The sequence below is a fragment of the Homo sapiens genome, chromosome 13, assembly GCF_000001405.40.
Source record: "Homo sapiens chromosome 13, GRCh38.p14 Primary Assembly".
NCBI classification, from domain to species: Eukaryota; Metazoa; Chordata; class Mammalia; order Primates; family Hominidae; genus Homo; species Homo sapiens.
Genome location: NC_000013.11, coordinates 60,641,076 through 60,659,895, shown reverse-complemented (window position 1 = coordinate 60,659,895; position 18,820 = coordinate 60,641,076).

Genomic DNA, 18,820 nt, shown 5'->3' with positions numbered 1-18,820 from the left:
TGAACACCAAGACACTATGAAGAAAGTGCTTCAACTAGTGTGCAAAATAACCAGCTAGCATCATGATGACAGGATCAAATTCACACAAAACAATATTAACCTTAAATGTAAATAGACTAAATGACCCAATTAAAAAACACAGACTGGCAAATTAGATGAAGAGTCAAGATCATCTGTGTGCTATACTTAGGAGACCCATCTCACATGCAAAGATACACACAGGTTCAAAATAAAGGAATGGAGGAAAATTGACCAAGCAAATGGAAAGAAAAAAAAAAAGCAGCTGTTGCAATCCTAGTCTCTGAAAAAACAAACTTTAAACCAACAAAGATCAAAAAAGACAAAGAAGGGCATTACATAATGGTAAAGGGATCAATTAAACAGGAAGAGATAACTATCCTAAATATATATGCACCCAATACAAGAGCACCCAGAGTCATAAAACAAGTTCTTAGAGACCTACAAATAGACTTAGACTCCCACACAATACTAGTGGGAGACTTTAACGCCCCACTGTCAATATTGCACAGATCAATGAGAGAGAAAATTAACAAGTATATTCAGGACTTGAACTCAGCTCTGGATCAAGTGGACCTAATAGACATCTACAGAACTCTCCACCCCATATCAACAGAATACATATTCTTCTCAGCACCTCATCACGCTTATTCTAAAATCGACCACATAATTGGAAGTAAAACACTCCTAAGCAAATGCAAAAGAACTGAAATCATAACAGTCTGTCATACCACAGTGCAATCAAATTAGCACTCAGGATTAAGAAACTCACTAAAAACCACATAACTACATGGAAATTGAACAACCTGCTCCTGAATGTCTCCTGGGTAAATAATGAAATTAAGGCAGAAATCAAGAAGTTCTTTGAAACCAATGAGAATGAACACACAATATACTAGAATCTCTGGGACACAGCTAAAGCAGTGTTAACAGGGAAATTTATAGCACTAAATGCCCACATCAGAAAGCAGGAAAGATCTCAAACTGACACCCTAACATCATGATTAAAAGAATTAGAGAAGCAAGAGCAAACAAATTCAAAAGGTAGCAGAAGACAAGAAATAACTAAGATCAGAGAAGAACTGAAAGAGATAGAAACACAAAAAACCTTTCAAAAACCCAATGAAGAGCTGGTTTTTTGAAAAAAAAAATTAACAAAATGACCACTAGCTAGATTAATAAGAAGAAAAGAGAGAAGAACCAAATAGACACAATAAAAAATGATAAAAGGATATCACCAATGATCCCACAGAAATACAAACTACCATCAGAGAATACCATAAACACTTCTACGCAAATAAACTAGAAAATGTAGAAAACATGGATAAATTTCTGGACACATACACCCTCCCAAGATTAAACCAAGAAGGAGTCAAATCCCCGAATAGACCAATAACAAGTTCTGAAATTGAGGCAGTAATTGCTTACCAACCAAAAAAAAAAAAGCCCAGGACCAGACAGATTCACAGCCAAATTCTACCAGAGGTATAAAGAGGAGTTGGTACCATTCCTTCTGAAACTGTTCCAAACAATTGAAAAGGAGCGACTCCTCCCTAACTCATTTTACGAGGCCAGCTTCATCCCGATACCAAAACTTGGCAGAGACACAACAACAAAAAAAAGGAAAACTTCAGGCCAATATCCCTGATGAATATCGATCCGAAATCTTCAGTAAAATACTGGCAAACTGAATCCAGCAGCACATCAAAAAGCTTATCCAGCATGATCCAGTTGGCTTCATCCCTCAGATGCAAGGCTGGTTCAACATATGCAAATCAATAAACATAATCGATCACATAAACAGAACCAATGACAAAAACCACATGATTATCTCAATAGATGCAGAAGAGGCCTTCAATAAAATTCAACGTCCCTTCATGTTAAAAACTCTCGATAAACTAGGTATTGATGGGACATATCTCAAAATAATAAGAGCTGTTTATGACAAACCCACAACCAATATCATACTGAATGGGCAAAAGCTGGAAGCATTCCCTTTGAAACCCGGCACAAGACAAGGGTGCCTTCTCAAGTTCTGGCCAGGGCAATCAGACAAGAGAAACAAATAAAGGATATTCAAAAAGGAAAAGAGGAAGTCAACTTGTCTCTGTTTGCAGATGACATGATTCTATATTTAGAAATATGGAATCATCTCAGACCAAATCTCCTTAAGCTGATAAGCAACTTTAGCAAAGCTCAGGATACAAAATCAATGTGTGAAAATCACAAGCATTCCTAAACACCAACAATAAAGCATAGAGCCAAATCAGGAAGGAACTCTCATTCACAATTGCTACAAAGAGATAAACAGTTGTGCTACAGAAAAAAGAGAGAGAACATCCTTGGCCAAGTGAAGAAAGGGTTGCAAGAAGGAATGAATGATCAACTGAGGAGTGAAGTAAAATAAGGAATTAGAATTGTCTATTGAAAACAGCAATAGGGAAGCGCGGTTTTTGTGAAAGGTGATGGGGAGAAACTTGGTTGCAATAAATTCAAAAGAGAAAAAGAAGGATAGGAATTGGACACACTGATGATAGACAAATGTCCTAAGAAGATTTGCTATAACTGGAAACAAATAAGTGTTACTGAAAAAAAGATGTGAGATTAAGAGAGTATTTACCTGTTTAAATTGGAGAAAACTATACCATGTTTACATGGTGGGAATGAATGACCTGCTAAAGAGGAGATAATTTATGATGCAGAAGAAAGGGGGAACAACTACAATGCCAATGTCCTTGAGTAAGATCATTATTCAGGATTCAGTCAGTGAGGCAGAGCATATTACAATTACTCGTATGGAAATAAGGAATTTGTTATAGAGATTAAAATTTAAACTTGCGAGGGAGATGCTGGGGAAGTAAAGGTCTTCAAGAGGAATTTGCAGAGTCACAATAAAAAATAAGAGTTACTAAATCTGCCTGCCTAGCTGGCCTGGGTGGATAATTTGGAGCGTGCAGGGAAATCCAAGAAGCCAAGCATTTCTAGCCACCAAATTGGGAACACAATGATGGGGCACATGGAGGTTATCTATGGGAAGTTGGATTTGTGTGTAGCTACCACCTGTGCAGGTTCACAGCCAAACATCTGTTGGTAGGCTTGGGACCACCGTTGGTCAGCAGGGCCAGCAGTTATAACAGAAAGATGAGCTAGACACGGAGCAGAGGAGAGCAAGGACCAGCTGAGACCTCACAGACACCTCTGCACCTGACTGCCACACTCTCTGAGCACTACAACCTTCCAAAAATAATAGCCACTGATTTACTCTCCCTCCTAAATCTTGTGCAATTTCCTCTATCAGCTACTTCTAACCTAATCATATAAGGGATTCTAGAAAATACAGTTTCTAAATTGACAATAGCACAATCTAGGACTTTGCAACCCTTTCAACCTAGCAGCCACATATACCTCGTTTAACCGTCCTTAACTGTCAAATGAAGATAATAGTAAAAGGATGCTTCTACTTAATATGATGCAGTGACAGGTTATCCAAAATGCTTGCCCCACAAGTGTTTCATATTTCAAATTTTGGAATATTTGCAAATACTTACCAGTTGAGCATCCCAAATCCAAAATTCAAAATGCTCCAATGAGCATATTTTTTGTGTCATGTTAGTGGTCAAAAGTTTTGGATTTTTGAGCATTTTGTATTTTGTATTTTTGAATTAGGGATGCTCAATTTTTATCATACAACCAAAAACTGCTAATGCGCTCCCTAAAAAAAGGATACACATACTTAATACATCTTCAGGTGATATTTATTACTCTTCTCCCTGAGTTACATGCTTGCTTTGACATCTTGTAACTTAAATAAGATATAATCACTATTACTCATTTTTTTTTAAAGAGACAGGGTCTCATTCTGTCACCCAGACTGGGGTGCAGTGGCATAATCATAGCTCACTGTAACCTCAAACTCCTGGGCTCAAGTGATCATACCACCTCAGCCTCCCAAATAAGTGGGTCTACAGGCATGCGCTACCATACACAGCCCCCAAATTACACACTATTAGTCTTATATTAGTTGGTAGGAAAAGGAAAGAGGGGGAAAGAAATTTTCTAATTTGCTAATATATATTATATACAAACATATCCATATAAAAGCAAGGAAGAAAACATATAAATACTAAAAATTCTGTAACTGGCTGCATAGTTATAGAAGTATTTACAATGTCCTTTCTCTACTACCTATTCTATATTGACTTTGCTGTCACCTACCTATTCTATATTGACTTCAGTCAACGTGGAGTAACACACGGCTTCATTCCTAAAGGCCCTGCTGGTTTGGGGTGGTTTTCTATTACCTCTGTCAACAGAACATGAGAATACTAAAAAAGTACCTCCCCACACACATATCTCTAGCACTCCACATACAGTCTTCTCTGGCCCAATTGTGTAATAGCTAGTCTCTTGACAGTCGGGATAAATCACCCAGTATGGTAATTGCTTCTTTTTGCCTGTTGTTTTACTAGCATGAGAAACACTAAGTTGCCAGGTGACTGGCAATAAACAAACCATGGCTTAATTCAGAATGAGAGAAACAGGACCATATAACGGTCAACAATTCAGAGACTACTTCATCCTGGAGGACATTACTATAGCCCCACATGGCATTCCCACCCAGATGGTGCTCTAACTCAGTCTTCAAAGACATCCACCATCCTCTCAGGATAAGGGAGATGATGATAAGAGCAGTGAATTTAGCTGGGCACGGTGGCTCATGCTTGTAATCTCAGCACTTTGGTAGGCCAAGGCGGTCGGGATCACGAAGTCAAGAAATCAAGACCATCCTGGCCAACACGGTGAAAGCCCGTCTCTGCTAAAAATACAAAAATTAGCTGGGTATGGTGGTGCGTACCTGTAGTCCCAGCTACTCGGAAGGCTGAGGCAGGAGAATCACTTGAACCTGGGAGGCAGAGGTTGCAGTGAGCCGAGATCACGCCATTGCACTCCAGCCTGGGTGACAAGAGCGAGACGCTCTCAAAAAAAGAAGAAGAAGAAGATAAAGTATCCCAATCACTCCCTCTCAAAAAAAAAAAAAACAGTGAATTCCATGAGCATGAGCCCATCTTCTATAAAATGAGTTGCTTTGACAGAAGCAATGCTGTGTGGAATACCATGACAGTGAATATAACATTCTGTAAATCCATGGATGGTGGACTTGTCAGAAGAAATATAACAGAGAAGGCAAATACACATGTACAGTATCTATTTCAGTAAGAACAAAGTTCTGTCTCTTCCAAGTTAATTTAGTGCAGCATAATCACACTGCCGCCCAGTGGCTGGCTGGTTATCCCAGAAAGTGGAGCCAAATCCAGGGCTCAGTGTTGATCTCTTCTGTTGGCATATTGCACACTCAGCAGTGGCTATGGGCAATCAGCCCTGGTGAGTAAAAGTCCATGTTGCTGAATGAACCTGGGCATAACTTTCATCCCTGCCACCATGGTCATTTGTTCCTGAGTCCACTAGAAAGGACATAGGTGTCTGGTGAAAGAGACTGACCAACATCTACAAAATGGGTCATTTCATCTGCCTGATAATTTCTCTGCTGAGATTTTTCTTTGGCAAGCATTAACATGGGACACAAATATATGGACAGTCTATACCCTTTTGGACAGATTCATCTATGTACTTCTTCCCAGACCTCCTAGTTATTAGCTTTCCAATCTTGTTCCTTCCAAGTCCCTGACCATCAAGCTGAACTCTTATCCACTTACCATGAAATGATGCAGATCTCTACCTACCTCTGATCATCTCTCTCCTTCCACGAGAAATGGAAAAAAAAGAGTAGTGCTCAAAGTACTGCCTCTCTTGAGAGAATTTCTCTCCACCACATTTTTTTAAATAATTTTTTTATATTTTAAGTTCTAGGGTACATGTGCACAATGTGCAGGTTACATATGTATACGTGTGTCATGTTGGTTTGCTGCACCCATTAACTCGTCATTTACATTAGGTATTTCTCCTAATGCTATCCCTCCCCCATCCCCCCACCCCACAACAGGCCCCAGTGTGTGATGTTCCCCAACCTGTGTCCAAGTGTTCTCATTGTTCAGTTCCCACCTATGAGTGAGAACATGCAGTGTTTGGTTTTCTGTCCTTGCGATAGTTTGCTCAGAATGATGGTTTCCAGCTTCATCCATGTTGCTACAAAGGACATGAACTCATCCTTTTTTATGGCTGCACAGTATTCCATATCCACCACTATTTTTCAAAAATACCCCAGAGTAGGGTTCCAGTGCTATCTCTGTACACTTTCTGGTGATGCCAGCACATTTTGCAAAATCATCTGTAGAGTAGGCCCTATTTTGTCTTCCTTAGCCATCAAGTAATGAGAGAACTTCGCCCAAGGCCATGGGTACAGACTGGGAAGGAGAAAGCAATGTGGCCAGAGGAACGACCATGGACATCTGTACTACTTGCCTGTGCAACTTATCTGAGACTTCAAGATCTATTCAAACTTAGTCTCACATATACCACCTACACTTGATAGAATGCTGCTACACACATGCTACAGCGTATTACTGAATCAGACAACAAATACATTATGATAGTTATAATAAGTTGCTGATGTCATGTGTAGGGCCTAATAGCAAGCCTGAAGTTGTTTCTCAAAATAGTTATCTGAAAAAGGTCACATAGCTTCACTCCAAAATTCTAAAGGTTAGTGATATCATTCACATATTACAATCTGCTAAAGGCCCCATAAAGCATTTCTGCCCCTGCAAGTACCATCAAATCGATCTGTTGGGTTATACTGCTTAGTGGCAGAGATCAGCGCTATGCCACTACCTTTGTTGTAAAAGAGTTTACATGCAGCAACTTTATTCTTCAATTTGGAAGGAATATGTCAATGTACCATGAGATTGCCTAGAAATTTAACAAAGTGAAAGGTCTCTACATTTGTTTGGGGAGTGGGGGGGCTTAGTCATTTTCTACCCTCTATTTTGCATGTGTTTTACCAAGATATCTAGACTAGTTGCTACTTTCTGCTCACTAGTTCAATTAGCTCAACATCATTAAATTAGTGGTGCAGCACAATGTCTTATGGAATGAAGAGGTAATCAAGTTTCCTATGGACAAGATGGTAAGAGAATTGGAGAGGAATTTTAATCCTGAGGTGGGATACTGAAGAAGTATTGCTGGCTTTGCTTATTAAAAGCAAACGGCTTCTGATGATGTCTGTTAACAAGAATTGAGAAAAAAAATCACTGTATCAGGGTTGAAATAGAACATATATATATATGATTGATGGCAGGGAATTGGTTTATGGAATTGTAAAGGCTGGCTGGGCAAGTCTGAAATTCATAGGACAGCCTGTCAGAAGGACAGGCTGGAACACTCAGGCATGGGTGCATGCTGCTGTTCACAGATGGAATTTCTGCTTCTTCAGGGAAGCATCGGCTCTGCTATTCAGATGTTTCAACTGAGTGAATCAGCTGCTCCCAAACCACCTAGAATAATCTCCCTTACTTAACATCAACTGGTTATAGAATTTGATCAAATTTACAAAACACCTTTGTAGCACCACCTAGATTCATATTTGGGTGAGTAACCAGGGATTACAACCTATTCAAGTTGTATAGCAGGTACCAGGGGTATTGATGTTTTCTCCAATAAATAAACCCTATCTAGAATAACAGTTGTAATAAGATTCATCACTTAGTTCAGTTTTCAAAAATACTACTGTTGTTCTCTAAGATCCATCTACTCTCTGCAAAGGCCAAATAGGTGAGTTGAATTAGGATATGGTAGGAATCACCACTCCCATATCCTTCAAGTCCTTGATACCGGCAGAGATCTGAAAAACCCCTCCAGGAATACAACATAGCTTTTAGTGTATGATTTTTAGAACAGAGCCATCCTAGTGGCTTCCACACAGCTTTTCCTACAAGACAGCCCTCTCTGCATGTGTGAGGGAATCAGAGTGAGGGTTCTCCCAGCGGCTAAGTATGTCTCCTCCAACTATAAATTTCTGACCTGAGAAAATAAACATTGAATAGCTTTGGGGACCAATTGAGCCACTTTGAGATGGATACAAGCCAAAATTCCATTAATTATCTCATTTCCTTAAGTCCTTATTCTTATAGGTAGACCACTGAGATGTTTTGAGTCTCTAACAATTAGTGTCACTTCAGAGCCAAAATGTCTAATTAGTTCTCCTTTCCCAATTCACAGACACCCAGGTAAGTAACCACCGGTCCTTTTAAAGAAAGTAGAGAAAAAGATTTACAGTATAATTTCTGGCAGAGTAGGGGGATTCTTCCTCAAAGAGACCCAGGCTTCTCTTCACTTAAGGGACTGTGTGAGCTGGGTCAGTCCAGGAACAGATTGAGGGGCTACAACACTTTTTGTGGTGATTAGAGTTAGTCAACTGCTCACAAGACCTAGAGCTTTCCCACTTATTCAAATCAAGTAAAGTGTTAGCAGACTGCTTGTCTATCTTAGTCCTAGGGATACCATGATCAATTAGTCAACACCAAAAATATCCATGTCAAACCATTCTGATTTGACATCAGAATGGTCAAATTTTAGCTCTGCTGTTCATTACAATAACATGCTTACTTTGCCTCATCTTACTACCTGACCACCATCTAACCCTTGACCATTATCCCCATTAAATTTCCATTATCCCCACTGGCTTCAGAACAGACTCCCTGAATTCCTCTTACCCTTTCTGAATTCAGGCAGTTCATTTCAATGTATTTCCCACTCACTTTTCTGACCTACAGAGAATAACTATCACAAAGCTCTTTAAAGATGCTGGTGCACCCCTTACTGTTTTCTCAGTCCCCTGGTGTCTTAGTTCAGGCTGCTAAAACAAATTACCATAGATTGTGTGGTTTAAACAACAAACATTTATTTTGCACAGTTCTGGAAGTTGGAAGTTTAGATCACGGTGCCAGCATGGTCAGGTTCTTGTGAGGGCCCTCTTCCCAGCTGCAGGCAGCTGGCTTCTCTTTGTGTCCTCACATGGCAGAAACAGAGCTAGTTTGCTCTCTGGCCTCTTTTAAGAGCACTAATCCCATTCATGATAGCTTCATCCTCATAACCTAATTACCTTCTTAGTCCATGTTGTGTTGTTTAACAGAACACCACATACCAGCTAATTTATAAGGAAATAAAATTTATTTCTCACAGATCTGGAGGCTGAGAAGCCCAACATCAAGGTGCCAACATCTGGCCAGGGCCTTCTTGCTGCATCATCCCATGGCATCAGGTGGAAGGGAAAGAGAGCGTGCCTGAGAGCAAGAGGGCAAGAGAGTGCCAAATTCGCTTTTATAACAACCCACTCTGGCGATATCTAACCCACTCCTGCAATAATGAGATATAATCCATCAATGAGAACAGCCCTCATGGTCTAATCACCTCGTAATGGTCCCACTTTTTGATATTATCACAATGCAATTAAATTTCAACATAAGTTTTGGAGGGGATATTCAAACGACAGCACCTCCCAAAGGCCCTACCTCTAACTACCATCGCATTGGGATAGGGTTTTAACTTATGAGCTTTGTGGGGACACCTTCAGTCCATAAAATTTGGTAAATGGAGTGCCTTCTGGACTATCCTCTCCCAGGTATATTTTTAAAGGATGGGTGAGTGAATCTTTACAGTATACCCATGATATAGATATTCTTCCCCGTTTCACAGATGGGGAAATTGAGGGATGTGTTTAGTCAAAGCCATTCAATTAATCAATAGATTCAGAATTTGAACACTAATTCAGTTTAACCCCAAACTCATACTTCTCTTAATTCAACCCTTACAGCACAAATTATGAGTTTGCTCCAGTTACTAAGTGAAGATAAAATGGTGCTTAAGACCAGGTTCTACTGCACACCTTTTATAGGTTTTTATATAATAAACATTTTTATTACAGATTCTGAACTCAAACATTACTGACAAATTCTTTGTTGTGCCAATAAAGTCATATGAGTAAGAATCTTTTCAAATTTTCATAGATACCTATTTGAACTAGGTAGAACTTGCCCATTAGAATCAATACGTTGGTGCATTTGATAGGCAAACCAGGTAAGCAGCACCTTGAACAGAACTCAGCCTAATGAGGTTTATTTCTACCTGTGCATGCTATATGCTAAACTGTCCCCTTTCTAGGGCCCATGGGAGAGCTTTCCCCTTGGTCCTCTGAAGGTTTGCTGAAAAATCAACTCACAAAGGTGGATAAATTATAGAAAAGGCATATGAATGTATTTAATGTGTATAAACAGAAGCCTTCAGAACAAAGACCTGAAAATTCAGGGGAAGTTATCCATTTTTTTGCTGAGGTTCAACAACGTATGGACAGCCATGTAGAAATATGATTGGGAAAAAAGGGTACAATCTAATGTTAATAGACTGAGCTGGGAAACCCAGCAAGACTTGTCTCTCTAGAGTCTTCTTGGCCTCTTTGAGCACATATTCCTTCCTTTTGTGTGGACGCAGGTCCCTTTCTGAAGTGGGTGTCTTATGACCTACAAACAAGGTAGGTCAGAAAATTTATGACCAATTTTTATACCGAAAGGCAGAGGGAAAATTAGAGTAATATATTTAGGTTTTATGGCTGGCTTTAGGGCAAAAGGGTTCTTTTTTGAGACAGAGTCTCGCTCTGTCACCCAGACTGGAATGCAGTGGTGATCTTGGCTCACTGCAACCTCCACTTCCCGGGTTCAAGCAATTCTCCTGCCTCAGGCTCCTGAGTAGCTGGGATTACAGGCACATGCCATCACACCTGGCTAATTTTTGTATTTTTAGTAGAGACGGGGTTTCACCATGTTGGTCAGGCTGGTATCAAACTTCTGACCTCGTGGTCCGCCTACCTCGGCCTCCCAAAGTGCTGGGATTACAGGTATGAGCCACCGTGCCTGGCTAGGGGTTCTTCCTTCTATGACCTGCCTTGGAGAAGAGGGATTCTAGTTTCTATGACAAACCTTGGGGAAGAATGGGACTGAGAGACAGGAGGGAAGTAAAAGGTCAAGGAGAAACTTTTGCTTCTGAGGCTGCTTCTAAGGCCTTCATTTTTGGATATTGTACTCTGAGCCCCAACACCTTCATACCCTTGAACTTTTGCACATGTTATTCCCTATTCTTATGCAACTATTCATTTTTTCTCCCTGAGTGGTTGCCTACTCATCCTTTAATACTCTCTCTTCTACTAGGTCCTACTGGACTCTCCTGAGTGAGAAAGACTTTCTTCCTTTAGGTGATACATTTTTAATGGAGGTGACAGCACCTCTGTATTAGTCAGTTTGCCTGCTATAACTGGATAGATTATAAACAAGATAAATTTATTTCTCATCATTCTGGAAGTAGAGAAGTCCAAGATCAAGGCCGCAGGAGATCTGGTGTCTAGTAGGGGCACACTTCCTGGTTTGCAGGCAATGCCATTTTCTTGTATCTTCACAAAGCAGAGACAAGAAAGAGCAAGAGCCAGCTCTCATGTCTCTTCTTATAAGAGTACGATTCCCATTATGGGAGTTCCTCCTTCCTGACCTAATTACCTCCCAAAGGCCCCACACATCCTAGTATTATCACATTGAGGGTTAGGATTTCAACATATGAATTTGTGTGGGAGGAACACAAATATTCAGTCCATAACAGCCTCCAAAGTTTAGGGGGACAAAAATCTTACTCTTTTTTGCAGTAAAACACAAATAGACCTACTAGAACATAAATATACAGTATACATGTGGTAATAAATTTAAAGAAGGGGGATGATTGGGGGAAAGAGTCTTAAAAGGCTCATATAGAGGGTGGTAATGGGGAAAATAGATTAAGAAACACTGCCCCCAAGCTGACATTGTGTCTGTACATGCCTAAATTTCAGTCCTTCTCATGCTTTATTGTATTTGTTCATTTGTATGTCTCTACCTCCCACTACACTTTAAGATGTTGAAGTCAAGATCCAGGTGTTATTATTTATAGCCCTGCCTGAAACACAGTAGATACATGTTGAATAAATGAATGAATAAATCATATGAAAGACTATTTGCAAACTTAGGATGAGATCTTTGTCTTTCTGGGAAAACAATCCCCATCCTACACTCTTCTCCATTTAGAAAGGAGTCATTTCAGGTCCCAGAAGCCTCCCACTGTCAGCCCCAAAATTCCTCTTTTGCTTTCTCACAGGATGTTTAGTGGAAGAAAGCAGTTGGGAGAGGAGAATCCTCATGAAATTAGCATTCCTGAGTACCTTATGCATATGGAGAGTTCCCAGGGAAAGCATAGGGACAAATCACTTTACTCCTTTCTTCTCCCCACTCTTTACAGGTATATTAATTTGGGTTTAGGAGAGAACTGCTTGCAAATATAGTTATCCAAGTCATCACTAACAACAGCACAGGGCTCTATCCTAAATTACTTTCCAGGTGAAAAATAGCTGAGGTCCAAAGACTATACCCTAACTACCCTAACAGATAGAATGTATCTAAGAGAAAAAAAAAAGCAGAAACATAGCTATCAAATTGGATTTTCTGCCTCCCAAAGGCAGTGTTATTTTTGACAAGGTTCAATACAAAATACTTCCACAAATGAAAATGTATGATTCCTAGCACTGCCTCTACCCACAGTCTGTGGGAGGGCAACATCAAAAAGCCACTGGGTGCTCATTAAAGGCTGCCCTTAGAAAATAAGAAACCATTCTCCACCAGCCCACAGCAAATAGAAAGACCAAGCAATGTCTTCAAGGGTTTCAGAACGAGCAGTTATCCAGCCAGCCAGCAGCAACCGCCTCTCAAATGGGAATGTGCATTTGGCCTCCAATAAAGAGATTCTGTGTACTTGATGCAGCGAATTATATTAGAGTAGAAACGCGGCTCTGGTTGTGGCTGTTTTTCTTCCTTAGAAAAGCCAGGCTGGGAATGTGTAGGTGTAAAGCAATTAACCTTTTAATACAAACATGGAGATTGGAGCTAGCATTGACCCAGGAAAGAGCTAAATCCATTCCCTTGCCAAGATGAGAAGAGCCACTGAAGCATCCCTAGCAACTCTGTCCACAGAAAGGAAGAGCCTCTTAGGGAACACTGGGGTGTCGCATCACAATCAGCCAGCTCAATCTCAGTCCCCACACACTCCCACAGAGCTCTGGGCATGCATGCGACATTTACAGGTTGAAATAGGAGCACAGATGAGAGATTAATCAGTCCTGGGGCAGGGCTGTGGTGTGACAAAAGCATGGCCCCTCTGGATTGAAAAAGGAAGTGAAAATATTAAAGTAAGCTGACCAAATGAGGCACGGTTAATAGAAAAGATTTGTTCCTCTGTTTATTCAATTTCTATATATCAGAGACTTGGTATTAGGAGTATAATAGCAGAGGAATAAAAACATGATGTTGCCATCAGGGGATTTATAGTCTAGGTGCAGAAATAGAAAATAAACAATTAAATGGATAAACAAGGTTATTTTGGATTAAAGAGAAACCAATGAAGAAAGTAAGGTGCTATGATAGAGAATGAGGCCTGCACCCATACAGAGCTCTGCTCGTGGGTTGCTTCCATCCTGAGTTTCAAGCTGTTAGCAGGCAGGGGGCCTAAGAGTTATCTTTTCTCATGACCTGATTTCGTTTGGGAAGGGATCTATGAGAACACGTTTTCCCCTTGGTAACTAGGGGAAGGAAATAAATGTGGGAGACAGGGAGGTGTGTGTTTTCTGCGAGAGCCCAGAGACTCACCACTGAACCCTAAGGAAAGTCACTCTGCCACTTACTACCTCTGTGACATTGAATGGTTTTATAAAACCCAGATTTCTTAAGATACGGGGTTGATATCTGTCGTAGAGTTGTTTTGAAGGTAAATATATGTACAAAAATGTCTACCGCAGTATCACTCCTGGAGCAGGGCTCTAGTGTGCCAAGCACGGCCCCTCTGGATTGAAAAAGGAAGTGAAAATACTAAAGTTGCCCAAATGAGTCACAGATAATAGAAAGGTTTGTTTGTATATAGAATCTTAGCTTCTTAGCAGCAATGTGACTGGCACTGCTTGGGTGCCACATTAGAAGAAGGAGACTCAGAGTGAGGGAGGGAGCATGGAGCCCTTCCATGTGGAACCAGTGTGGCTGTGATTCACAGAGTAATCAAGGCATGCAGCACTGTGAGCAGCTGGAACACTGCCCTGGGCACAGACAGCGCTGTTGTGGCCACCCTGGGACTCCATTGGCAGCTGTGCCCAGAGAACAGCACCTAGGGAGTGAAGGAAATGACAAGAGGGAGGGCTGCCACGAGCTTCTGTTAAACATCACCTCCCCTTCCAGCCATGTACCTGGCAGGGCTGTGATTTTGACAGGAGGGTGCTCATACTATAAGAGACAAAACACACGAAAGAAATTTGAATTTAACACAAAATTATCATTTGCTATGATTGTGTCCCCCAAAGTTCACATGCTAGAAACTTAATCCCCAATGCAACAGTGTTGAGAGGTAGGAATGTTAAGAGGAGACTACATCACAAGGGATCTGCCCTTAGAATGAATTAATGTTACTACCACACAGTGGGGTTTTTTACCACAAGAGTAGGTTTGTTCTAAAAGCAGGTTCAGACTGTGCAAGGTGAATCACACCTGTAATCCTGGCACTTTTGGAGGCTGAGGCAGGCAGATCACTTGAGGTCAGGAGTTTGAGACCAGCCTAGTGAAACCCCATCTCTACTAAAAATATAAAAATTAGCCGGGCATGGTGGTGCACGACTGTAATCCCAGCTACTCGGGAGGCTGAGGCAAGAGAATCACTTGAACCCAGGAGGCGGAGGTTGCAGTGAGCCTAGATCACGCCATTGCACTCCAGCCTGGGTGACAGAGTGACTCAGACTCAAAAAAATAAAATAACGAAAAATAAACAAAAGTAGGTTCAACCCCCTCTTGACCTCTCTCACCTTCTCTCACCCTCCCTCACCCCTGTGATGGCTTTTTCCATGTTACGACACAGCAAGAAGGCCCTCACCAGATGCTGACTAGCCCCTCAATCTTGGACTTCCCAGCCTCCAGAACTGTGAGAAATGAATTTATTTTCTTTATAAATTACCTAGTGCCTGTTATTCTGTAATATCAGCACAAAACAAACTAAGATGCCAGTATTATGTGCCTGGCCAGTATTAGTCATTGTAGCAGACTTTTTTGTATATATATTAACCTTCAAAACAACCCTATGATAGATGTCAATAACCCCATATTTTAGATAAGAAATCTAGGGTTCATAAAATCACCCAGTATCACAGAGCTATTAAGTGGCAGGGCAAATATTCAAACTTAAGCTTTCTGCCATCAACACTAGGGTGTGAAAGAGTCTGAAAGTGTTTTTAAAAGTAGTAATACAACATCATTAAAAGTTCTCCTTTATTTAAGACCCATATTTCCAGCCTCTGTCAGCTCCCAACTTATACCTTAAACATTTAAAAACTAAATAAAAATGATTTGTTTATTATTTTTTCTCCTTCATTCCCTGGTCTTCTCTTCTCTCACCTGCATTCAATGAGGATCAAGACTTTGGTCTGAGTCCAGTTTCCATTTTAACTGCCTTTCACAGAATAGATGGTTATAAAATGTAGCAGATAGATGTGCATGTGTTCTGGTCTGGCTCCATCTATCAAGAAGCCACTTTTCACCATGTGGCCACTTGATTCAGCCTACAAAGGGTATGCAATTACTCTTACCTTCCATGAGATCCAAAGGTCCCTACATGAATAATATCTAAATAAAAATTTCTCCATTTGTCTTGTTTCCTCACTCTTTTCTGATTTTTTTTTTTAACACTTGGTTTGTTTGTCCAATATCTAAAGTGCCCGTGCCATTTCTATGTTAATACCTTTAAGGTCTGAACTTGAGTTTAAGGATGCCATTAAGAATGCACTTCTTGCTACAGCCGTATTTTGTATTCCCCTAACAAGTCTGAAGCCTCGAATACAAAGGATTATAGACATTACCAAGTTATTTTTAAAGATTGCATTTATATTATTCACAATGTTTTTGCCAGAAACACATCTTACAATGCAGAGAAACTGGAGATCATATAGTTATTACAAAAAGGCTGAATGTTACATAAAAGAAAAATGTCAATTTGCAGTTGATTTTTGGTAGTTGCATCATGTTTCTATACTTGATACCTGATATTTAAAATGTATTCCATTGTTCCTGTGTAATAGATTTATGGATGATGATGACGATAAGCATCATAAACATCAGATAAATTATTACTGAATACCAGAGGGATAAAAATTGTTGCTTAAGAATTAGTATATACAGCACTATTCACAATACCAAAGACATGGAATCAACCTAAATGCCCATCGATGACAGACTGGATAAAAAAAAAAATGTGGTACATACACACCATGGAATACTATGCAGCCATAAAAAAGGAATGAGATCATGTCCTTAGCAGGGACATGGATGGAGCTGGAAGCCATTATCCTCAGCAAACCAATGCAGGAACCGAAAACCAAACACTGCATGTTCTCACTTGTAAGTGAGAGCTGAATGATGAGGACACAAGAACACTGGGAGGGGAACAACACACACTGGGGCCTGTCAGATGGGCAGGGGAGGGTGAACATCATGATAAATAGCTAATGAATGTAAGGTTTAATACCTGGGTGATGGGTTGATGAGTGCAGCAAATCACCACAGCACACGTTTACCTATGAAACAAACCTGCATGTCCTTCACATGTATCCTGGAACTTAAAGTAAAATTAAATTTTTTTTAAAGAATTAGTATAAAGACTTAAGAACTGGACAAATCCTCTGTCTTCAGGAGAATATGTTGAACCAAACATACCAGATCATCACCAGTGAACACCTATTTGTCACACAAGAGATTCATCCTGATATTAGCAATGTTTGCTTTTCTTTAAAAACTTGAAAATCATTTCAAAAGTCTGAGTGGATTAGTAGCAGTTAGTGCATTTGCAGAAAGCTCTTCGAAGGAAAGATAATATATAAACAGAAACTGACTCGGGAGTTGAATAAAAGCAATAAAAGCTTTTCTGGGAAAGCCAGTCATGTGCCATCTCCAGACATTTTTTATATGCCTCAATATGAGCATGCCCCGGAAGCTGATGCATTGAGGCAAAAAGTATGCAAACAACCAAGGTCTATATTTTGGGACAATTAACTCATACACTGGGCAGCCAGTGGCCACAAAATTCAGAACCCGACTCCAGCTGACATTCAAGGCAATCACTTAGCTCCTCCCTCGCCTTCATCTCTCATGTGCAACCCTAAGGAATTTCAGGCCTGCCTTAGTCCATTAACTCCTTACCTCCTGCTTCCTTAGTCATGGATGCAGAATTAGGCAGAAGTCCCTACAGTATATACAGATACATATATATTTGTGTGTGTGTGTGTGTGTGTGTGTGTGTATTTATGTATATCCATATAAAATACATTTTATAAATAATGCTATTTTAGAAGTGATACCTATAAATATCTAAGTATATATTCACCTAAAAGTATATTTTAGTATTCAGTTAACATGTGCATAATTATAATGGATTGAGTTTAAAAAGCAGCTAATACCTGTCATGTTCTTTTCAGAATGTCAGGTATTAGTAAAGTCAGCAGTTCTGCAAACATGCTGTTTCTGCTGTTAGTTTCATGGCTACTTTACCTGCAGAAGAGTGGCTGGCACAAAGTGAAAGCTCAAGAAACACTAGATCAAAAGGAATGGCATAAAGGAAACACTAGACTTGCAGATAGAATATCTACATTCAAGTTTGAACTAATTCCCTTCAAATCTTTCTGAACTGTAAGGTGGGAATAATATTCCCTCACTTGGCTCTACTTTCCCCATAGAGATCTCCATGATAGTAACAGTTTCAGTAACAGTAATTTTATCTGTAGAACTGGCTTCAGTAGCAGGAACAGTAGTAATAAGTGGAAATTATTTTTACTATAAACATTATATTGGAATGGATTCATTGATTCATTCATTCCACTGTACCAGGAACCACATAATTGGCTAGATACACAGAGAGAAGACAGAATTACTACCCCAGGTAGGGAGGGTTATCACCTAGCTAGGGAAAAACATATTGCATGACATGGGATAAATGTTTGTACACATGGATTTACCTGAATGTTTTCTCTTTGCTTCTTGTCAACGTAAAATGTTCCACCACAATTTTCTGGGAAATACAACTAGCCTTTTCAATGTATCCCTTTTTCTTACTGTCTAAACTGGAACAAGTTTCTTTTCTTGGATAACTTTTACATCCTCTCTTATTAACCTAGGTCTTCTTTTTAACAAACTTTTCATTGATTCACTTGGTACGTACCAGACACTTTGCTAAAGCTCAGATTTCAAAGATAAAAGAGTCCTACCTTCGAGCAAAGAATTTTCCTCTATTTTCAGGAAAGCAATAAAAAAAAATCCAAAGCAACCACTTTGAAGATAGTTATAAGCTCACTTTGTGAATGAAGTCTTAGTATCGAGGGTAAAGTGCTAGGATATCTAAAACTTACCTTCAAATAGTATAGCAAAAAAAATATGTATTTATACACAGGGAGAGAAAGAAAATTTATAACAGTTGAATGCAACAAATATAAGTTCATTGTTTTATTACTTCAATTTTTTTGTATGTTTGAAATATTTTCTTATAAAAAGTGGAGGAAATGAACAAAAGTTTCAATGGAGTCAGATCACTCTGGGTTACAATCTGATTCCAGAACTGTCCAGCAGTATGAGCTGGACCTCATACTAGTTATTAACCTCCCAAGATCTCAGTCTTCTCATTGCTAAATGAGATTTTACATGCCAGAGTGGGTTCTTCTGCACATTAAATTAGATAATTCATGTAAAACATGTAACACAGTCCT